The 24,441-nt window shown below is 38.1% G+C and overlaps 1 long non-coding RNA gene across 1 annotated transcript in view, besides 1 other annotated feature; it reads left to right on the forward strand.

The window, feature by feature from the left end:
• LOC124903186 (uncharacterized) overlaps positions 1 to 24,441 on the forward strand; it is a 35,583-nt gene that overhangs the window by 9,396 nt on the left and 1,746 nt on the right. The window contains exons 2-3 of the long non-coding RNA XR_007063828.1: positions 15,424 to 15,575; positions 24,001 to 24,212. This is a non-coding gene — a long non-coding RNA (uncharacterized LOC124903186). The remainder of the gene's footprint in view (positions 1 to 15,423; positions 15,576 to 24,000; positions 24,213 to 24,441) is intronic.
• Positions 11,686 to 12,065: an enhancer, noted in NCBI's record as "active region_7845". NCBI's record gives its function as "activates an Ori minimal core promoter by ATAC-STARR-seq in GM12878 lymphoblastoid cells {active_cell/tissue: GM12878}" and the evidence as "EXISTENCE:reporter gene assay evidence [ECO:0000049][PMID:35858748]".

The following is a 24,441-nucleotide window of genomic DNA, read 5'->3' on the forward strand; positions in this document are numbered from 1 at the left end:
AACCATCATTCTCAGCAAAGTAACACAGGAACAGAAAACCAAACACCACATTTTCTCACTCATAAGTGGGAGTTGAACAATGAGAACACTTGGACACAGGGAGGGGAACATCACACACTGGGGATTGTCGGAGGGTGGGGGCTGGGGGAGGGATAGCATTAGGAGAAATACCTAATGTAGATGACAGGTTGGTGGATGCAACAAACCACCATGGAATGTGTATCCCTATGTAACAAACCTGCATGTTCTGCACATGTATCCCAGAACTTAATGTACATATATGTAAAAAAAAAAGTATCCTCAAAAGCCCATCTGCCCTGTGAAACATTCCATCAGTACTGACTGTTTCCTCTTAGCTCCTATAATGTTTATCCAAATTTTGGGGGCTATTCCATGTGCCAATCAGCAAAATACGGGGGAGCAAATATTGTTCTTAGATTGTCAGATGAAATTTACTACTATGACAACAAACTGCCTGACTACAAGGAACACATACTATGCAAACATGGCTTCAAGTGCCTCACTGCTGTGTTGAGCCAGGTTGTAATGCAGCATTTGGTTGACCTGTGGACTCTCTGCTTAGGATGTCCGCTGCAGATAAAAAGCCATCTGTGGCAGTGGTAACCTCATGGGACAGCACCTGAAATATGCCTTTATTTTGTGACCCAGAAACCAAAAAGTTGAAGGATATGGAATGCATAACAAAATTAGGTTATGTATTTTAAAAATATACAGTGTAGTTATTTGTATTCATATAACAAATTAAGTGAATAAAACGTAAAATATGTAAAATCAAGGCACTTGTAAAAGTAATTTAATTTTTATAAGTAAAATAATATATATATTATACTTTAAGTTCTAGGGTACATGTGCACAACGTGCAAGTTTGTTACATATGTATACATGTGCCATGTTGGTTTGCTGTACCCATTAACTCGTCATTTACATTAGGTATTTCTCCTAATGCTATCCCTCCCCTATCCTCCCACCCCACAGTAGGCCCCGGTGTGTGATCTTCCCTGCCCTGTGTCCAAGTGTTCTTATTGTTCAATTCCCACCTATGAGTGAGAACATGCAGTGTTTGGTTTTCTGTCCTTGTGATAGTTTTCTCAGAATGATGGTTTCCAGCTTCATCCATGTTGCTACAAAGGACATGAACTCATCCTTTTTTATGGCTGCATAGTATTCCATGGTGTATATGTGCCACATTTTCTTAATCCAGTCTATCATTGATGGACATTTGGGTTGGTTCCAAGTCTTTGCTACTGTGAATAGTGCCACAATAAACATACGTGTGCATGTGTCTTTATAGTAGCATGATTTATAATCCTTTGGGTGTATACCCAGTAATGGGATTGTTGGGTCAAATGGTATTTCTAATTCTAGATCCTTGAGGAATTGCCACACTGTCTTCCACAATGGTTGAACTAGTTTACAGTCCCATCAACAGTGTAAAAGCATTCCTATTTCTCCACATCCTCTCCAGCACCTGTTGTTTCCTGACTTTTTAATGATCACCATTCTAACTGGTGTGAGATGGTGTCTCATTGTGGTTTTGATTTGCATTTCTCTGATGACCAGTGACAATGAGCATTTTTTCACGTCTCTGTTGGCTGCATAAATGTCTTCTTTTGAAAAGCATCTGCTCATATCTTTTGCCCACTTTTTGATGGGGTTGTTTGATTTTTTCTTGTAAATTGGCTTAAGTTCTTTGTAGATTCTGGATATTAGCTCTTTGTCAGATGGGTACATTGCAAAAATTTTCTCCCTTTCTGTAGGTTGCCTGTTCACTTTGATGATAGTTTCTTTTGCTGTGCAGAAGCTCCTTAGTTTAATTAGATCCCATTTGTCTATTTTGGCTTTTGCTGCCATTGCTTTTGGTGCTTTAGTCATTAACTCCTTGCCCATGCCTATGTCCTAAATGGTATTGCCTAGGTTTTCTTCTAGGGTTTTGATGGTTTTAGGTCTAACATTTAAGTCTTTAATCCATCTTGAATTAATTTTTGTATAGGGTGTAAGAAAGGGATCCAGTTTCAGCTTTCTACCTATGGCTAGCCAGTTTTCCCAGAACCATTTATTAAATAGGGAATCCTTTTCCCATGGCTTGTTTTTGTGAGGTTTGTCAAAGATCACATGGTCGTAGATGTGTGGTGTTATTTCTGAGGTCTCTGTTCTGTTCCATTGGTCTCTATGTCTGTTTTGGTACCAGTACCATGCTGTTTTGGTTACTGTAGCCTTGTAGAATAGTTTGAAGTCAGGTAGTGTGATGCCTCCAGCTTTGTTCTTTTTGCTTACGATTGTCTTGGCAATGCAGGCTCTTTTTTGGTTCCATACAAACTTTAAAGTGTTTTTTTCCAATTCTGTGAATAAAGTCATTGGTAGCTTGATCTGAATGGCATTGAATTTATGAATTACCTTGGGCAGTATGGCCATTTTCACTATATTGATTCTTCCTGTCCATGAGCATGGAATGTTCTTCCATTTGTATGTGTCCTGTTTTATTTTGTTGTGCAGTGGTTTGTAGTTCTCCTTGAAGAGGTCCTTCATATCCCTTGTAAGTTGGATTCCTAGGTATTTCATTCTCTTTGTAGCAGTTGTGAATGGGAGCTCACTCATGGTTTGGCTCTCTGTTTGTCTGTTATTGGTGTATAAGAAAGCTTATTAGTTTTGCACATTGATTTTATATCCTTAGACTTTGCTGAAATTGCTTATCAGCTTAAGAAGATTTTGGGGGGAGACGATGGGGTTTTCTACATATACAATCATGTCATCTGCAAACATGGACAATTTGACTTCTCTTTTCCTAATTGAATACCCTTTATTTCTTTCTCTTGCCTGATTGCCCTGGCCAGAACTTCCAACACTATGTTGAATAGGAGTGGTGAGGGAGGGCATCCCTGTCTTGTGCCAGTTTTCAAAGGGAATGCTTCCAGGTTTTGCCCATTCAGTATGATATTGGCTGTGGGTTTGTCATAAATAGCTCTTATTATTTTGAGATACGTCCCATCAGTACCTAGTTTATTGAGAGTTTTTAGCATGAAGGGCTGTTGAATTTTGTCAAAGGCCTTTTCTGCATCTATTGAGATAATCATATGGTTTTTGTCTTCGGTTCTGTTTATGTGATGGATTATGTTTATTGATTTGCATATGTCGAACCAGACTTGCATCCCCGGGATGAAGCCAACTTGATCTTGGTGGATAAGCTTTTTGAAGTGCTGCTGGCTTCGGTTTGCCAGGATTTTATTGAGTATTTTTGCATTGATGTTCATCAGGGATATTGGTCTAAAATTCCTTTTTTTGTCTCTTTTTTGCCTGTCTCTGCCAGGCTTTGGTATCAGGATGACGCTGGCCTCATAAAATGAGTTAGGAAGGATTCCCTCTTTTTCTATTGATTGGAATAGTTTCAGAAGGAATGGTACCAGCTCCTCTTTGTACCTCTGGTAGAATTCGGCTGTAAATCTGTCTAGTCCTGGACTTTTTTTGGTTGGTAGGCTATTAATTATTGCCTCAATTTCAGAGCCTGTTATTGGTCTATTCAGTGATTCAACTTCTTCCTGGTTTACTCTTGGGAGGGTGTATGTGTCCAGGAATTTATCAATTTCTTCTAGATTTTCTAGTATATGTGCATAGGGGTGTTTATAATATTCTCTGATGGTAGTTTGTATTTCTGTGGGATCAGTGGTGATATCCCCTTTATCATTTTTTTATTGTGTCTATTTGATTCTTATCTCTTTTCTTCTTTATTAGTCTTGCTAGCAGTCTATCAATTTTGTTGGTCTTTTCAAAAAACCAGCTCCTGGATTCATTGATTTCTTTGAAGGGTTTTTTTGTGTCTCTAGCTCTTTCAGTTCTGCTCTGATCTTAGTTATTTCTTGCTTTCTGCTAGCTTTTGAATGTGTTTGCTCTTGCTTCTCTAGTTCTTTCAATTGTGATATTAGGGTGTCGATTTTAGATCTTTCCTGCTTTCTTTTGTGGGCATTTAGTGCTATAAATTTCCCTCTACACACTGCTTTAAATGTGTCCCAGAGATTCTGGTATGTTGTGTCTCTGTTCTCATTGGCTTCAAAGAACATCTTTATTTCTGCCTTCGTTTTGTTATTTACCCAGTAGTCATTCAGGAGCAGGTTGTTCAGTTTCTATGTAGTTGTGTGGTTTTGAGTGAGTTTCTTAATCATGAGTTCTAATTTGATTGCACTGAGGTCTGAGAGACAGTTTGTTGTGATTTCTGTTCTTTTACATTGCTGAGGAGTGCTTTACTTCCAACTATGTGGTCAATTTTGGAATAAGTATGATGTGGTGCTAAGAAGAATGTATATTCTATTGATTTGGAGTGGAGAGTTCTGTAGATGTCTATTAGGTCCGCTTGGTGCAGAGCTGAGTTCAAGTCCTGAATATCCTTGTTAACTTTCTGTCTCGCTGATCTGTCTAATATTGACAGTGGGGTGTTAAAGTCTCCCATTATTATTGTGTCAGAATCTACGTCTCTTTTTACATCTCTCCAGACTTGCTTTATGAATCTGGGTGCTCCTGTATTGGGTGCATATATATTTAGGAGAGTTAGCTCTTCTTGTTGAATTGATCCCTTTACCATTATGCAATGGGCTTCTTTGTCTCTTTTGATCTTTGTTGGTTTCAAGTCTGTTTTATCAGAGACTAGGATTGCAACCCCTGCTTTTTATTTGTTTTCCATTTGCTTGGTAGATCTTCCTCCATCCCTTTATTTTGAGCCTACATGTGTCTCTGCATGTGAGATGGGTCTCTTCAATACAGCACAGTGATGGGTCTTGAATCTTTATCCAATTTGCCAGTCTGTGTCTTTTAATTGGGGCATTTAACCCATTTACATTTAAGGTTAATATTGTTATGTGTGAATTTGATCCTGTCATTATGATGTTAGCTGGTTATTTTGCCCGTTAGTTGATGCAGTTTCTTCCTAGCATTGATGGTCTTTACAATTTGGCATGTTTTTGCAGTGGCTGGTACAGGTTGCTCCTTTTCATGTTTAGTGCTTCCTTCAGGAGCTCTTGTAAGGCAGGCCTGGTGGTGACAAAATCTCTCAGCATTTGCTTGTCTGAAAGGATTTTATTTCTCCTTCACTTATGAAGCTTAGTTTGGCTGGATATGAAATTCTGGGTTGAAAATTCTTTCCTTTAAGAATGTTGAATATTGGCCCCCACTCTCTTCTGGTTGTCGGCTTTCTGCCGAGAGATCTGCTGTTAGTCTGAGGGGCTTCCCTTTATAGGTAACCCAACCTTTCTCTCTGGCTGCACTTCGCATTTTTTCCTTCATTTCAACCTTGGTGAATCTGACAATTATGTGTCTTGGGGTTGCTCTTCTCAAGAAGTATCTTTGTGGTGTTCTCTGTATTTCCTGAATTTGAATGTTGGCCTGCCTTGCTAGGTTGGGGAAGTGCTCCTGGATAATATCCTGAAGAGTGTTTTCCAGCTTGGTTCCATTCTCCCTGTCGCTTTCAGGTATACCAATCAAACATAGATTTGGTCTTTTCACATAGTCCCATATTTCTTGGAGGCTTTGTTTGTTTCTTTTTACTCATTTTTCTCTAAACTTCTCTCCTTCCTCCATTTCATTAATTTGATCTTCAATCGCTGATACCCTTTCTTCCACTTGATGGAATCGGCTACTGAAGCTTGTGCATGCGCCATGTAGTTCTCGTACCATGGTTTTCAGCTCCATCGGTCATTTAAGGTCTTCTCTACACTCTTCATTCTAGTTAGCCATTCGTCTGATCTTTTTTCAAGGTTTTTAGCTTCCTCGTGATGAGTTCGAACATCATCCTTTAGCTCGGAGAAGTTTGTTATTACCGACTTTCTGAAGCCTACTTTTGTCAACTCATCAAAGTCATTCTCTCTCCTGCTTTGTTCCGTTACTGGTGAGGAGCTGCGATCCTTTGGAGGAGAAGGGGCGCTCTGGTTTTTAGAATTTTAAGATTTTCTGCTCTGGTTTCTCCTCATCTTTGTGGTTTTATTTACCTTTGGTCTTTGATGATGGTGACCTACAGATGGGGTTTTGGTGTGGATGTCCTTCTTGTTGATGTTGATGCTATTCCTTTCTGTTTGTTAGTTTTCCTTCTAATAGTCAGGTCCCTCAGCTGCAGGTCCGTTGGATTTTGCTGGAGGTCCACTCCAGACCCTGTTTGCCTGGGTATCACCGGTGGAGGCTGCAGAACAGCAAATATTGCAGAACAGCAAATATTGCTGCCTGATCCTTCCTCTGGAAGCTTCGTCTCAGAGGGGCACCTGGCTGTATGAGGTGTCAGTCGGCCCCTACTGGGAGGTGTCTCCGAGTTAGGCTACATGGGGCTCAGGGACCCACTTGAGGAGTCAGTCTGTCCATTCTCAGAGCTCAAACACCATGCTAGGAGAACCACTGCTCTCTTCTGAGCTCAGCTGGAAATGCAGAAATCATCCATCTTCTGCATCGATCATGCTGGGAGCTGCAGACCACAGCTGTTCCTATTTGGCCATCTTGGGACGGACCCCCAAATAATACATATTTTTAAACTGGAAATACATTCCAGAAAAATCTTATAACTACTCACCAACCTTCCTGTGGGTAATCGAAATGAAACTGAACTGAGGTGAAATGTGTACATTAAATTATTCCATTATTGACATTCTGACCTTGCAGACTTAGCTTAATATAATTTCTGTTCAGACTAGCTCCTAGAACAGTGAAACCTACAGTCACATTTATACTTGACATAGTCAATTTGTCTATTGTAGGATGTTGAGTCACATATCCTTTTGAACTCTCTGAAGCCTCATTCTTTAATTTGCCCAACTTTCCTGTGAAGAGTAAAGATCCCTGCTGGCTAATGTTAATAAGCTTTCATTAAAAAAAGTATGATATAGTCTTCATGCTGTAAATAATTTTGCCTTTTTCATGACCAGATTTGTTCAATGCCATTTCCTCCCTTTCATTTCTTTCTTTTGTGGAGAAATAACGCCTTTCAGGAGCACAAGAGTTGATGAAAGAAAACACTCTCAAAGTCAAGTTTGCTGTAGCCTGTATACCTGAAAACGGTGGGCTTGAGAGGCCGGGAAGAGAAAGAAAGAAGAGGGATAGTAACAACCTAAACAGCAAAGACTTGGAACTTGAAATTAAAAAGATATACACCTATCTATGTATTTCTGATATGTTTGTCATAATTTCAACCAAAGTTCATGATCTATAGAATTTTGCATAAATAAAAAATATCATTTGGTTAGTTTTGACTCTCATTAAAAATAAATTTTGTCAACCATCCTCTTATTAAGATGTTTTAGAACTAAACACACAACACAATTATATCTCCACAAAATGCCACTAGGTTTCCTAACAGAGCATCAACCTACTTAGATTGTGAGCTCATCATTTTTATGCATGTGTTTACATAGATGCTTTTTTTTCTACAGGCAGCATGATATAGTGAAAAGAATGTGAGGTTCTGAAATTAGAAGAACTGGGCATGACTCCTAGAATGTACTATCTGTTGTGTGACCTTGGGCAAGTCACTTAATCTGTCTGAGGCTTGTTTTTCTTGCTTGTCAAATGAAAAATAAATGACAGCAATATTTCAGATTTGGTGTGCAGATCATGTAAATAATATATGCGAAAGTGCTTAGTAAATTGTAAAGCATCATGCAAAGGTTAGTTATTTTATTTTGGATTAACTAAAATTTTGTTCTAAATTGATGTTTCCCTAAATAAAACAAATGACTGCTAATGCCCATAGTAGCCCTGATTTTATCTAGAAATTTCTTTTTTAAAGTTTGAATTAGCAAACTTTCAATGGGTTTAGAATTTTTATTTAAAAAAGGATCATTATATACTTGAAATAATTCAATTAGGAAAAAATATAAGCCTCTGTCTTCATCCATTTTGTGTTGCTTTAACAGAATACCTGAGACTGGATAATTTATAAGGGAAAGAGGTTTATTTAGCTCACAGTTCTGCAGGCTGGGAAGCTTAAGGGCATGGTCCTGGCTTCTGGTGAGGGCATTTGTGCTGTGTCATAACATGGTGGAAAAGGTCAAAGGGGAGGTGGACATGTATGAAGAAACAAAACCTGAGGGGCATCCTCGCTTTATAAAAATGCACTCTCATAAGAACGAATCCATTTTCCTGAGAACTAATCCAATCTTGCCTGTGCAAGAACTCACTCACTACCTTGAAAATGACACCAAGTCATTCATGAGGGATCCGCCCCACTGACCCAAACAGCTCCCACTAGGCCCCACCACCCAATATCACCACAATGGGGATCAAATTTCAACATGCTCTTTGGTGGGGATAAACTCAAACCTCCTTTAAGAGAATCCCCTGGAAGCTGAATCACTTGATCCTTATGCTAAGTTTGTCTCATGACCAGATGAGAACCAATTTTGTCCCCCTGCAGAGTGGCCCCTTTAAGCTGTGGACTAATAAGTGAGAAAAATGTCTAAGTCAGGGCACATGCAGGCAGGGATAACTTACCCACTAGATGTAGCAGGCACAGGGCCAAGGGTCCACTATACCTTTAAATGTCCATAAAAATGTTTTAATTTCTTTTGAAATTGGAAGAAAAAAGTGAACTTTTAGGTAGGAGTAAATGTTTTAATATATAATATTAACATATTCATCCTTATACCAATGAGTCATAAAATATAACTTTTAATATTTGCTGTAGTTCTGGGCAACCCAAGATGAATCCTCTGAGAAGTTCAGTTACCTGCAGTCCAAGGCACTGTTCCTATAGCAGTGGTGTTGCCAGGAATCACAGATGTGGAGTGACTAGCTCTATCTTGAGAAATAGGGAAGACTTTGCAGAGCTGATATTTAAATCAGTCTTTTAAGGATAAGTATGCTTTCTACAGGTGGAGGTATTAGAAAGGGCATTTCAGGGAGAAAAAGCAGCATGAACTAAGGGATGGGGCTGTGTGGGAGACAGAGCCTTGGAACTTAGCAGTGATCGATAACCAACAATAGCCTCTTCACTATAAATCCATGGGGGAAAAGTCCATTACTTATATTGTCAAATCTTGCTATGTTTTCTCCATTAATCTTGCATTAAATTATTTTAGAACAAGACCTCAAAATTACACGAACATCTGCAGAAGTAACTAATGAATAAGCAGTGGGTTGTTCAAAGAGCTAATGAGATTAGATCGGATTAATAGAAATGTGTCAAGAACAAGGCAAAGTATTTGATATACTAGTTATTCTCTGGTTGCAAGCAACAGAAACCGATTCTAGCTAATTCAGACCGAAAAGAAAGAAACAGAGGGAAAAAAGAAAGGGAGATGCCCCTGATAACACATGATATTCTTTTCAAGGTCAGAAGTGGTTTTCCTGTTTTTCCACAGCTGAATCAGCTAGAACCTCCACCTAGAGGTTCTATTTTGTTCTGAAAGCACTGGACCAATTCCATCATTTGTCAGGACCTCTAAGTCAATACTCAGATTATTCAGCACCAAATATGCGAACTGATCCATGCTCCATATTCTTAGTAACCCTTGTGCCTTGCTAGAAGACTGATATGGATTTTGTGGTTAAATTCTAGAAACTGTACTTTATTCTGTTCCTAGAACTAAGTCCTCACATTTTAGCCTAGTTCTATGATCCTCTTTCCTTTGATCTATTTGTCTCTGCTCCACATGAACCATGTCTCTGCTTCTCATTTCCAAGGACCTGTGAGCAGGGCTGATATTTATGCCATATAGAATGGATTGGGCTGGTTATTTATATGGATATCTGTTCTGATGTATTGAGGCATTTTTTTGGTGAGCCATGGCATCTGTTCTGACTAGCTGATGCCTGTATATATCAGTGGTTAGATATTTCTCCAATAAATGAAGATTATTTTTGTGGTAAAATATTAGCTCTAGCCCCCTCTTAGGATGAGGCTAGAATTATGTGTCCACTAGAAAAATATTATTTTCAGAAGTGGATTTAATTTCTATCATTTAAAGGGCCAGTCATAAATGACTCTAATCAGAACTGTTGATTGATTAGACTTTCGTTATATGCAGACAAATATGCTCAGAGGCCAGATATAAGGGACAAAAGAACAAATTGGCCACATGCTGTGTCTGCAAGGAACTCACTATGTAGAAAGGACTTCTACTCCTGGATTTAGAACCATTCAGTTTTATATTTTTTGTTTTTAAAATTATGGAAGATTTCTCATTAATTTTTGAAATGCAGGTGACTAACTGATTTAAAAATACACTTAAGAGTATCACAATACCTTTGAAAGGTAATTGAATAGAACTTCAGAAAAATCCATTCAACTATTGTCTCAAATATCCATCCATCCATTCATCTATCCATCCATCCATCCATCCATCCATCCATCCGTCCGTCCGTCCACCCGTCCGTCTGTCCGTCTGTTCATCCATCCATCCTTCCATCCATCCATCCACTATCTCGTTGAATTTATCCATCTTCCAGGAGCTGTGCTTGCAAATAGAAAAAGACTGCCAAGAAGCTCACAGACGAGTACAGAAATGAACATACGAACAATTTCAACACCATTGTGGAGATAAGTTCACATGTGGATGAACTCAGGCAAGTTCCACAGGGGTCTAACAAAAACAATCTTAGACTCTGAGAACTGCAAATCTGGATTTGAATTCTCGCTCTACCCTTACTAAAGCTATGGCTTTGAGTGAGTTATTGAACATGTCTATTTCAATCTCCTCTTCTATTAGGTATGTTGTAGGGGCAAAGGGAAAACTTCCCTTTTACCCTCTGAAGGTTCATTGCAAATCACTGACAAAAGATAGATTAATAGGAGAAAAAGCATACAAATTTATTTGATCAGAGTTTGGATATGATACAGGAGCCTTCAGAATGAAGACCCAGAGATACAGGGGAAACTGTCCATTTTTCTGCTTAGGTTCAACATATTATGGATAGCCAAATAGAAATAGGATTGGACAAAAAGGATATGTTCCCCTGTTAATGGACTGAGTGGGGAAACTCAGGAAGACCTGTCTGTTCAGATTCTTCTTGGCATCCCTGTGCAGCATTCCTTCCCTCCGGATATGAGGCAGGACACTCTCTGGAGTGGAAGTTTTATGACCTACAATCAAACCAGGTAGGTCAGATAATTCTTTTATAACCAATTTTTACACAGAAAGGTAAAGGGAAAGGTAGAGTTAGATTTTTAGGTTTCATGACTGTTTGGGGGAAACAGGTTCTGATTTCTATGATCTGTCTTGGGGAAGAGGGATTCTAGCTTCTATGGCTTGCCTCAGGGAAGAATGAGGGGCCAGAAACAGAACAGTAGGAGAAAATCAGAGTGAGCTGCTTCTGAGGCCTTCACTTTGGGATATCATTTTCTGAGCCTCAACAGTGTATGATGTCACTTGCCTGACCATAATAGATGCCCATTATGTTAGCTACCATCTCTCTATCTCCTCTCTTCCCTTTCATTCATTTCTGGGCTTTGGTTTTCTTATCTCAAAAAAGAAAGGGTTTAAATTGATTTCTGAGTTATTTAAGAATCTAAAGCCTGTGTTTTAGGAACAATTCCCCTAAGCTTGAAAGATGTTCTTTCATTACTTATGGTCAAATATGCAATACTCTCTAAATATGGCAAATCATAATTTAATCACACTGATTGGTCTCTCTAACACACCAAGCTCTTTCTCACCTTGGGGACTTGGTGCATCTTGTTCCCTTGCTTGTAGATTTCCTTCCTCTTTGCTTACCTGGCTAGCTCCTGCCTGTCCTCCAGGTTTCAGTCTAGTGGTCACTTCCTGCTAGAGTTTGGATGTTTGTACCACCAAACCTCATGTTGAAATTTGATCCCTGATGTTGGAGGTGGGGCCTAATGTGTTTTGGTCATGGGGATGGATCCCTCTTGACTTGGTGACGTTCTTATGATAATGAGTGAGTTCTTGTTCTGTTAGTTCCAGTGGGAGCTGATCGTTAAGAGCCTGGCCCTTCCCCACTCGCTCTCTTGCTTCCTCTTTCACCATGTGATCTCTGCACACACCAGCTCCCCTTCACCTCCTGCCACGAGAGGACACAGCCTGAGGCTTTCACCAGATGCCCACTCTTCTAGCCAGCAGAATGGGGAGCCATCTAAACCTATTTTCTTTACAAATTACCAGCCTTCTGTATTCCTTTATAGCAACACAAATAGACTAAGGGACATCCCCAAGGATGCTTTCCACAGATAATTTCCAGAGGGCTAATCTGTGAATTTTCTTTGGTCTCTACACTCAGCCTGTCAAAATAGACACCATACTATAGCCATCCCCCACTTATAACACCCAACATTTAAGATCTGTAATATTCTAATGCATTTCCCTTTAAAAAGAGTAATGATAATGACTCCTCCAACCAGAGACCCTTATGGGGCCCAGTTTATGGTTTACTGTAGAGAAAGGGGATCTAACCATATTTCAATATCTAAATGCAAAATGCAGATACAAATTATTAATGACTAACATGTATAAATCATTTACTACACGCCTGGCACTATGCCAAGCATTGTATATGCATTATTTCACTTATTCTTTATATCAACTTTAAGAAATAAGTTTATGTGTAGCATAGGTTTGTAAATGAAGAAACAGTGACTTACAGAGTTTAAATTGTTTATTTAAACAGAAATAATTTGTTTCCTAGATATGAAGATCGTCAGAATAAAACAAAACAAGGCAAAAACCCACCAAAAATTCAAAGCAACAACCAAAACATTATAGGTTTAACAACAGCTTTACAGGGAGAGAAGGAAACATGACCTTATATGTGCACATTGTAAGACTGACTCTGATGTCAGAGGCATTAGAATTGAGGAGCAGCAGAGGCAAGTTTAAGCTCAGGACTGTCTGACTTCAGAACCAATATTTGTAAAATATTACTCTGTACTTTTCAGATTCAGAAAATCAGCCCTCAACTTAAGGATACCTGAGAGGCTGTGAGAAACTCAAGAAGCAAAGACAAATTTTTTGAGAACTTTGACAATGTGAAAATAAACCAAGGGACAGTCTAAGTGCAAAAACAAAACAATGACAAACCCCAAACAACCCAAAGCCATTACATTCAAACTTACCAGCAACATGAGATTTGCAACTTAAAAAAAATGAAGAAAATAGAGAATGTGTATTCATGTATGTCACTTTTTGTGATTTATTTCATTTAATCATAAGAATTTCATATGGTAAAAGCATTACATTATTATAATCCATATCTAACAGATGAGAAACTGAGGCACAGAACCTGCCTTAGGTCATATATTAATAAAAGGTAGAGTTTGTGTTAGACTTAGGGAAACTAATTCTAGAGTCCACAAATTATGGAATTGGTAGGAAATTCTATAATTTCCCAGATGCCAGCGATGCGACAACGTTTTCTAAATAATTAAATAAAATTCATCAAGAGAAACGTTCACTGTTGGAGCAGGTTTTTAACATGGGAGAATCTGCTCTGTTGTGGAAATGAGATCTCTCCAAACCTCTTATTTTCTACCAGATCTTAATTTTGCCAGCTTTAGTTTTGATAGTCCCAGTAATTTTGATAGTCCCAATAATTTTAGGAACAGAGCCCCATGAAGAGTGAAAGATAATTGCATCTGGTGACAAGCTCCCTGGTCCTTAGACTAAAATCTCTGTGGTCAGGCACTATGTTTTGTTTCTGATTGCATCAGTGTTTGGCATAGCCAAAGGACTCAATAAATAATTGCTGAATGAATGAATCATGTAAGACATTAAGCCTAAGACTGGGAGGCCGAGGCGGGTGGATCACGAGGTCAGGAAATCGAGACCATCCTGGCTAACACGGTGAAACCCCGTCTTTACTAAAAATACAAAAAAAATTAGCTGGGCGTGGTGGCGGGCGCCTGTAGTCCCAGCTACTCCGGTGGCTGAGGCAGGAGAATGGCGTGAACCCGGGAGGCGGAGCTTGCAGTGAGCCGAGATCGCGCCACTGCACTCCAGCCTGGGCGACAGAGCGAGACTCTGTCTCAAAAAAAAAAAAAAAAAAAGAAAGAAATTAAGCCTAAGAAATTTTACATTTAAACAAGAAAATGCATGTCATGAAGAATGTGATCTTTTCATCAGGCCACAGCCAGCCTCTACAGGGCCTTAGAAAAAGTGCTCTCCCTGGGTGGATAAATTAGGAGAAGACATACACTGGTCAGGTATACTCTCTCTGATTTGGCTTATCCACATTAGAGACCCATAGAGTCCAGCTAGGCAACTAGAACTTACATTTCCAACCTCATTTGATCTTTTGGTCAGGCATGTTTAAGCAGTGTGCAAATATACAACTGTATATGGTAATCTGGTTTACCTCATCTTCTCTTTGATTTTTTTTTTTTTGTAGGGTGACGGCAAATGTCCTCTTGTCTTTCTTAATCAAGACAGTACCAGTTCTGCCCAGCTTAAAAAGATATAAAAATAAAATGTTTGCATTCTATTGATTTATACCATATTCAACATCCATGTCAGTCTTTATTTTTCAAGGAGAGTATGTTAGATAGATTAGTTCCTTTCTTCTTTATATGGTAAGCTATAAATAAATTTTATAGGATCTTTTTAAATTTTGGAAACCAAAAAAAAAAAATTGAGCCCTGAACCTGTACATTTTAGTTTTTGGAACATTCTATAAATTTGTCTACTGCTTTCTTGTCTCATACTTCTCAGTTTGTGTAAGGTGTGTCACTAGAAAAACCAGGAGGCGGAGGTTGCAGTGAGTGGAAATCGTACCATTGCACTCCATCCTGGTTGACAAGAGCAAGACTCCTTCTTAAAAAAAAAAAGAAAAAAAATTAGCTAAACCCAAAGTCTAAAAAATGTGAATTGCCTTTCTCTTTCAGATACTTGCAGGAATGTATACATGTGAACACACACAAACACATATACACACACATACAAACAAAACATATACACATATACATACAAACACACACATAGGCATACATACATATGTTGCTTTTCTGTGCTAAGTGGGAATTTAGGGGCAACCTGATTCATATCAAGAGATGAAGGAATTCTGTTGGACTTAGTGACTCTCTGAATAGCTTTGACTAATTGCAAATGATTATCATCATAATAATTTCCCAGGAAGAGTTTATTAAACTTAAATCTTAAAACTCCATTACATGTCACTTAGACACACACACACTCCAAAAATTTAGGAGTTAAATCAGCGTACCTTTCTTAAAACAAAAGCCTAATTAGAAACCTCTTGCCTCGATCATAGCTCTGCTACAGCATGCCTTTTAGGAGTGATAGAGTGATATTTTTATTTATTTTTAATAAGGACCACAAAACCACTTTCAAAAAAATTTTAGTCATTTTTAGTGAAAGAGAATGTTTCAATTTAGTTCACAAATCCTCACATTAGAACATTGGCTTCTTGTCCTCAAATGCATTTAAAAATATGATCTCTGCAATGAATCTCAATATCTGTTGTTGTTCCCTCTAGGCCTGAAGTTTCTCACTCATTAACCTGGAGCAACAAAATGGAAAGAATTCTGATGACAAAGTAGAGAACCTGTCCCTTTGCTGGCTCTGAGGATGACTGACTGTTGTGTGGGTGAGGTCTGCAGACAGAAGCCAGCTCTGCTCTCTCCATTGGTAAACATGGGTGGGAGCATGGGAAACTCCAAGAGGCCAACCCTTGTGAGTGTTAGTGAAAAACAGCAAAGTGTTAGGAAGAAAAGTGAGTCCTAACTCAGAACTGCAAATGCCCACCAATATTGGTTGCTCCCTGCCTTATTAGACATTTTCATTTGTAGCACCTTTAAAAGATATGATTTCCTAATGTCATGGCACTTTATTTTCTGGGTCATGTTGGCTTCGTGGTTAAGCAGGTGCAAACATTGAATTGGCCAGGTGAGCTGCCAGGATGACTGAAACACAGGGGGTTTGGATCATCTGGACAACAGGACTGAGTGGAAATTAATGGGCGAGGGTTTCAGAGATGAGACTTTGAATCCAAGCTTTGCATTTTACTGTAAGAGTTTGGGCAAGTTGTTTAACCTCCGAAAGGCTTTGTTTTCTTCATTTGCAATATCCCCTATCTTAAAGATTATAAAGTTATAAAGATTAAGTTAGATAATGCATAAAAAACAATTAGCACCAGTGCCCAGCAAATTTCTGTTGTTAAGAGGTAGTCCTACAGAATCTGTTTTTTTTTTTTTTTTTTTTTGGTCTGAAATTCCCTTCTCACAGGTTTACTTATTCCCCAGGAATAGCTGTAATGAATAAAACTTTGGAGACTTGAATTTGGGCACAATGCAATATATTGCCAGGGACATCTCCAAAATCAGCCTTAACATACCCTAACTTGTTTCCAAGGAACTTATCACTTAGCTAGATGTGTACTATAAATAATAATGATGATGATTACAGAAATAAAAATATTCATTGTTTCTATTCATTCAATGCAGACAACTTGCTGGGTGCTTTAAATATACACTTTAAAATACTTATAACAATGGCACATATTAAGTACCATTATTCACATTTTATAGAGAAAGCAGAGACAAGAGAGTAAGGAACATCTTGGAGGTCACACCACTAGGGATCAGACCTGGGATTCAAAACCAGATTTGCTTTACTCTGGAGCCTTTTTTTTTTCTACTACACCCTGCTATGCTCAGATGGGCTAGGAAATTTGTCCTAGGAATAAGTTTAGTAAACATCAACAGGTTCTTTTGTCTTTCTAGTGAATACCAAATATTTTGTTGCCTATTTCACAAATTCTGAGGGAATTCTACAAACTCTTCTTTGCTGGAATTCAGGATCCCTTTTGTTGATTAAATTATTATTTCCATTGATGTGGTTTTGAATTCAATCTAATAGCAACAAGGCACTGTCTTAACAAAGGATATGCTGTTGTTGGGTTTTTTTCCTGAGAGGGGGCTACTTTCATAACTTTTCAGTTAGGTGAATTTGGAGAATAGAATTATTAACATCAGTCCAGTCCATGCAGGGAGAAAGTTCTATTCTAGGAAATGGTCTTCTTCTAGTGGATCTAATGAGATTTAAAAAAAAGATTCTAAGAAAAGAAATCAATCATAATATTAGAAGAGTCGATCACAGCCTTAGGAGGACAGATCAAAGATGAACATGACATAAACAATTAGGAGGAAGACCCCTAACAATAAAGCTAGAGGTACCGGGAAAAATCACTGTAGAGGATCTAGCAGGGAAGCAAAGAAGGAAATGGTTAGATCCATTTATGGGAATTCAGGAAGTTCTTTGAAGAGCAAAAATCACTAAACTGAGTACTGAACAGTGAGTAATATGATTCCAAATAATGGAGTAGAGAAATGGAGTATACAGTGGAGTTAGAGCTTACATAAAAAGAAAGTGTCAGACAACCTGGAGATAGATCAATAGCAATTATTCAAGAGGGACACAAAACAGAAAATAATCAAAATAGTAGACCTGTTGTATGATGTTTTCCTACACCAACCAATTCTCTAAGTCTCCCATGCCAATCAGACATAATTCAATTCTGACACTATCCGGAATTAACATCAGATCCCATAAGTTAAAGGGCTCAGTTCCACAAGACTGCCCTCATTTCAGTTACCAGCTGTAAATGGGGTCCCTAGGCTACCCACACTTCTTCCTGGTCATCTACAAATTTAAGCATTTCCACGACCTCTTCTTCAGGTTTGATAGTTTGCTAGAATGACTTACAGAACTCAGGAAACAGAACTCCTGATGATTACTGGTTTATTATAAAGGATACAGCTCAGGACTATCCAAATGGAAAAGGTGCCTAGGACAAGGTATGGCAGGAGGGTGGTGGTGGTGACACAAAACTTCTCTCCCAGAACACTGATGTGTTCATCAACTGGAAGCTCTGTGAACTCTGTTGTTTAGGGATTTTTATCAGTTTAATTATGTAGGCACGATTGATTATATCATTGGTATTCATGGTCAAACTCCCTCTCCAGCCCCTCTCCACTCCCTCGAGGTTGAAATTTTTGGCCTTCTAACCAAGTAGGTTTTTTTTTTTTTTTTTTTAAGCAACCAGCCCCCTTTCTCCTTCAGTCATCTCATTAGCATACAAAAAACAGTTGTCACTCAGAAAATTCCAAGAGTTTTAGGACCTCTATGCCAGGAACCAGAGCAAAAGACCAAATATATATATATATATATTTCATTATACCACATCTATATCCAACCATATCAACAATTACGTTAAATGTTAAAAAATGTAGTCTGCCACTGCCACATGTGGTGATTTGAATTTAAATTAATTAAATATAAATATAGTAACTAAAAAAGCATTTTTAAAGTTATACTAAACACATTTTAAGTATTCAACAGCCACATGTGGATAGTGGTATAGTATTGGATAGTGCAGACATAGTACATTTTATCACAGAAAGTTGTACTAGACAATGTTAGAAACAAAATGTCAAAACAGATTTTAAAAAGCAAGACCGAATTATGTATTGTTTACAAGAAATACACTTTAACTATAAAGACCTAGAAAGATGTGCCATACAAACAGCATAAGAATGCTGGAATGACTATATTAATGTCAGATAAAACAGACTTCAAGACAAAGAGTATAACTGGAGATAAATAGGAATATTTCATAATGATAAAAGAATCAATTCACCAGGAAATCACAATAATTATACATGTTCATACATCTAATATCAGAGCTTCCAAGTACATGAAGCAAAAATGAGAGAATTAAAGATAAACACAAACAATTCCACAATCATATTTGGAGATTTTGATGCCACTCTCTCACTAATCCGTAGAACAACTAGATAAAGAAATCAGTAAGGACATACATTATGTGAGCAACACTATCAACCATCATAGCATAACTGGTACTTATAGAACACTGTACCCAACAACTACAAAATACATATGCTTTAAAAATGTACACAGTAGTTTTATTATGCTAGGCTATGATATGAGCTTCAGTAAATTTGAAATAATTAAGATCATACGGAGTGTCTTTTCCAATCATAACAGAATTAAATTAGGAATCAGTAACAATGGCATATCTAGGGAGACTCCTAATTTTAGAAATTAAACAACAGAATTCTAAATCATCCGTGGATCAAAAGAGTAACAGGCAAATTAGAAAATATTTCAAATTGAATGATAATAGAATAATAACATATCAAAATTTGTGGGATGCAGTAAAGGGCAGTACTTAACAGGGAAACTGAAATCTTTAAATGCTTATATGAGGCAAAAAGTAAGGTCTACAGTCAATGATTTAAGGTTCCAGTTTCAAAAGACAGAAAATGAGAAGTGAAGTGAAAATACATGGACAGAAGGAAATAAAGCCAAGAGCAGAAATCAAGAAAATTAAAGAAAAACAATAGGGAAATTTAACAAAGCCAAAGGTCAGGAAAGAAGCTGAGTGGACTGGGGTTGTGAACTGTGAGGACCAGTGGTCTGAGGGGAAAGAACATTGGACAATGTCATCATGTCTTTGTACAAAATGCTGGGGCATGTGAGGGGCCTTGTTCACACTGTCTTTCTGTCTATGTACAAATGGTGTTGCAAAATTGAAAATATTTGCATAATCTTATTTGTTCAAAATAGGGAAGTTCTATCCTTCCTTCCTTCCTTTCTTCCTTCCTTCTTTCCTTCTTTGCTTCCTTCGTTGCTTCCTTTCCTCCTTCCTCTTTGTATTTTTTTCAGACAGGGTCTTGCTCTATTGCCCAGGGAGTGGCAAAATCATAGCTCACTGCAGCCTCAAACTCTCAGGCTCAAGCAATCCTCCTGTCTCACCTTCCCAAGTAGCTGGGACTACAGATGTGTGCCCCCATGCCTGGCTGATTAAAAAATTTTTTTTTGTAGAGATGGGTCTTGTTATGTTGCTCAGGCTGTTTTCAAACTCCTGGCCTCAAGCGATTCTCCCACCTCAGCCTCCCAAAGTGTTGGGATTATAGCTGTGAGCCACCATGCCTGTCCTCTCGCCACCTTTCTATGCTTCCAGTCTCTCTTTGCCATTCATTGTTGACAAGAACCTCTACTTGATTTCTCACTGCCATTACCTTCTTTGGTTCCCAGCAATATACTAATCCATGTAGACTCCATTCAAGATGTATTGGTTTTAGGTCTGCATTTGCTCTTAATACAGGGTCTCAGGGTGAATATTGTCTAGATGAGAGGTTTACTTGTTTTTGTGTCAGTTTAACATAATGTTGAAATTTGCAAATGCCATGAATTTGTTGAATGAAAGAGATGTTGATCAAAGGGTAAAAAGTTTCAGTTACGCACAATGAATAAATTGTGGATTATCTAACAAATATCATGGTGACTAGTAATACTGTATTATATAATTAAAATTTGCTAAGAGTAAATCTTAAATGTTCTCATCACACACACACAAAGGTAACTATGTGAGGTGAGGGATATGTTAATTAGCTTAATTGTGGCAATCATTTCACAATTTATATATACATATATATATACACACATCAAAACTTCACATTGTTTACCTTAAATAGTTACAATTTTTATTTGTAAATTATACCTTAATAAAGCTAGAAAGAAAGTTATAATTTGGTCCATAGAAAATGGCAATTTGATCAATGAATTGTTTGGTGTCAGTTTCCATTTAAATTTGAATTTTTAGTTTAGTTTTTTTCCTCTTAAGTGACATTCAAAGAGAATCGGTAAAAGTTTAGATAGGGTACAAATGAACAATAGCATTTTATTCCTACGCCATTTGACCATAGCATTCTTTTGGTCCATTATGTTTTATCTTTTTTTTTAAAAATATGCCAAATATAATTTTAAAAAATTAATGGAGATTTGTGGTCCGCAATAAAAACTAGAAGATATAGGAGAACTTTGTTATACAGTAATTTGTGATGTATGTGGATTTACCTCTGACATAGGTCAAATATTATCCTCTGAAACCTAGCCACATTCAACAAAAAAGCCTCATCTAAGACAATCTTTGTTCAATCCACCAATATCAGCATTATCTAAAGGCTCTACTTTGTGGGAGATGGGATAAGAGAGCAGAAAGGACATGTGTTTGAGTCAGACAGATCTGGTTTCAAATGCCAGTTCTGCCACCTCGTATTTCTATAATCTTCATAAAGTCCCTTAATGGGTTTGGATGTTAATATTCTAAATACCTCCTTCACAAGGTCACAGTATGCTTTTGAGGAGATAATATATGTAAAGTGCCTAGAAAATAGGAGGCCCTCCTTGACCCTATCGTACAAGATACTGTGAATGATTGATAGCTTTCTGTGTTTTCAGGGAACCAGTGTGGCAGAGTGAAAAATAATAGGTTGGTGCAAACGTAATTGCTGGTTTTGCTGTTAAAATTAATAGCAAGGCCTTTGAAGTTGTGTAAAATCAGGTCTCACTCTCCTTTGCCATTTTTTTGGTGGTCTGACTTTAGGCATATTACTTAACCTCTTTGGGTTTCTGTTTCCTCATGAAGACAAAAAGAAAAGCTCTTCTATCTGCAGACACATGAGGAATTAGTGAGTTAAGATATATAAACATCTAGCACAATGCCTGGCATAGTAAATGCTCAGTTAAGAGCAGCCTCAGTTACAGTATGTTATTACTGTGGGATTAAGATTTATTTATTAAGATTTTTTTCAAAGTTCTTTTTATTTCCCTTTATGTTCAAATAATCAAAACCTCCCGGACTACAATTAACAATGCGAAGGCTCAGATTAATTTCTGAGATGAGTACTGGGTATTTCATTTCATTCCTGCCCCTGTTTATGAAGGAGCAGAAAAGCAAATCTCACAGTTCCACATGCTGCAGAGCAGAAAGATGGTCATCAGCTCCATGGAGGTGATTTTTCATGGCTCCAACAACCTAATCTTCATGATTGATGATTGCTGCTTTAAGACGTTTAATAGTTCCTTCCAAAAGAATTTGTATTTCAGATTATTGATTTCAAGTGAATTCCTCTGCTTTTCAATGCAACAGAATATATGATCAGTGAGGTACAGAGCAGAATCTATTTGATTAAAATTTCTTTAGCTGAATTTTCTTGTTGCTAGTAGCAACCAACCAAAGAATAGACCTAAAAGGACAGGCAAGAGCTACAATGATTGCAGTCCATGTTTTTATCTTTCCCTAGTTGTGATTTTAAAATAGCCTCTCTAGTGTTTGTAGTCATAAAAATGATTGCTGTATATGACACTTTAGACATATTGACAAACCATCCACCTAAATAACCCTATCTCATTAATGAACTTCTTCACAGGGCTTGGACAGTCAACCTCAGGTCACATAAACCATTGCTACACTAAAGACTATAAGGAAGATGATACTGTTTATATCACACAAATTATTTCCCAAATTAAATTTGCTATTAACTGGTATGTCTTGGATCAGCATAATATTATGTGTAGCAACAGCATTTACAGTTTGCATTAAAAAGAACTAGTTAGCATCACTTGTTTAAAAAAACTCCATGTTATCTGTTAAATAATTTGGTGGTTATTTAACAGATTACATGCAGTTTAGAGATATACTGGTATAGAGATATATGGAAATCACTAAAGGAGACTAAAAATATACTCTTGGCAGAGCTGTTCATAATACAGTGAAATTCTACTAGAGTGTTTTCCAAGGGCAAAAGAAGAACATCTCTGCAAGCAGGGAAATATTAACTTTACAGGAGCATAAAACACCTTTGGGATGTTTGTTGTGTCTTCCAAAATGGAGCTGGATTTGCAGAAAAAAAACCCCTCCGGATCAGCACATTGCATGATACAGTTTCATCCTTCCTCTGACACCTTGCTCATTTGCAAGTCAATAGAGAGAACCTCCTAGTACATGATTGATCTCTACATGCTATGATGCTGTTTGTCTGACTCCTGGGAATATTATGTTAGCGTGGACAGGATTTCCAGAGGGGTGGCCATTATCAAACTTACAATAAGACTCCTGCTGGTTGAGAAGGCTTTTTGGTGAGAATCATAGGTGCTCAATTGTATTTCTTGAGGCTAAGAAAAGGTCTCCATTCACTCAATGTTAAAAGACGGGATTCCTTAGGAGGAACACTTCAGGCTGCTAACAATTATGGCACAATTGCCTATCAGAATGTTTTCTAGTCAGCTGGGGATTAATGGAGCTTGTACTTCCAATGAGAGGAGACCCTTAGCAGCAAGATTTGACACAGGAAGCATGATGCAGGGACAGCCTCTGAGCTGGGAAAGGGACCAGGGCAAGGGAGGAAGCAAAGAGATCCTGGGAGGATCAAAAATATTTTGTCCACTACATATATTTTCCTGAGGCTGACACTCAAGAATTTTTCTAATTAAAAAAAAAGGGGGGATCTTAAATTTGGTCTAGCCAAAGCCACTAGGCACTGAAAGGAACAGTTCCCCTTTTGCCTTCCTTCTAAATGGTACAGGGTTGCAACACTCTGCTTGGCTCTGTGCTTACATTTGCCACAGGCGGGGAAGATCAGAACTCCCCAGCGATGTGTACTGGCCAGTGAGTGCTGCCAGGGCAAAGTTGATAAACTAAAGAAATGATGACTAAACAAACTATTAACCAAGTCCTAATCTCTGCTTGCCTCCTCCATCATTAGAACCAGAAGAAGATTAGAGCCCTGTGTGTCTCTAGGGCTCACACTGGGTATGCTATTTATTAAACCAGGAAACAGTTTGTTTCTGGGAAGAAAAATTTGGCTCAGGCTCTGATCATCAGGCATTCATTCATTTATTGAGCATGTACATTATCCAGCACTGCTCACTGTACCCTGTGAATGTCACAAGATCCCTGGCCTATTGGGAGCCTAAGAGGATATGTCCTCTAGCTCAGTTATTCCCAGCCATGATGTTTAATAAAATTCAATCCCACTTCTTTCATGAAATTGAAGTCCTTCCCATTTTCTCTTTGCACTTGGGACACCCACTGTCACTGTATTACCTGGATTTTCTCAAATTGTCTCAGCTAATTGGGAGTGATGGAAGCTCTGGATCTAGAGGCAGGGGATTCCCTTAGAAGATAAACTGCTTTTGGACTGGAGCTTTTATTTATTCTTTTTTTTTTTTTTTTTTTTTTTTTCAGAGTCTCACTCTTGTCACCCAGGCTGGAGTATAGTGGCGCAATCTCGGCTCACTGCAACCTCCACCTCCCGAGTTGAAGCAATTCTACTGCCTCAGCCTCCTGAGTAGCTGGGATTACAGATGCCCGCCACCACGCCCAGCTAATTTTTGTACTTTTAGTAGAGACGGGGTTTCGCCATATTGGCCAGGCTGGTCTCGAACTCCTGATCTCAGGTAATCCGCCTACCTCGGCCTCCCAAAGTGCTGGGATTACAGGCATGAGCCACCGTGCCCGACCGATTTATTCATTTTTAATTGAGTCTGAAAAATGTCATTGAAAATAGTTTCATTGGCATGGGTGAGAAATAAGAAAATCCTGGCTTCAAATAATTCAGTTTTGAGAATGTACAAACTTGACACAATGAAATGGTAATTTATGAAATTAAAGCTGCACCTCTCTGGA

Source organism: Homo sapiens, chromosome 13, assembly GCF_000001405.40.
Source record: "Homo sapiens chromosome 13, GRCh38.p14 Primary Assembly".
Taxonomy (NCBI): domain Eukaryota; kingdom Metazoa; phylum Chordata; class Mammalia; order Primates; family Hominidae; genus Homo; species Homo sapiens.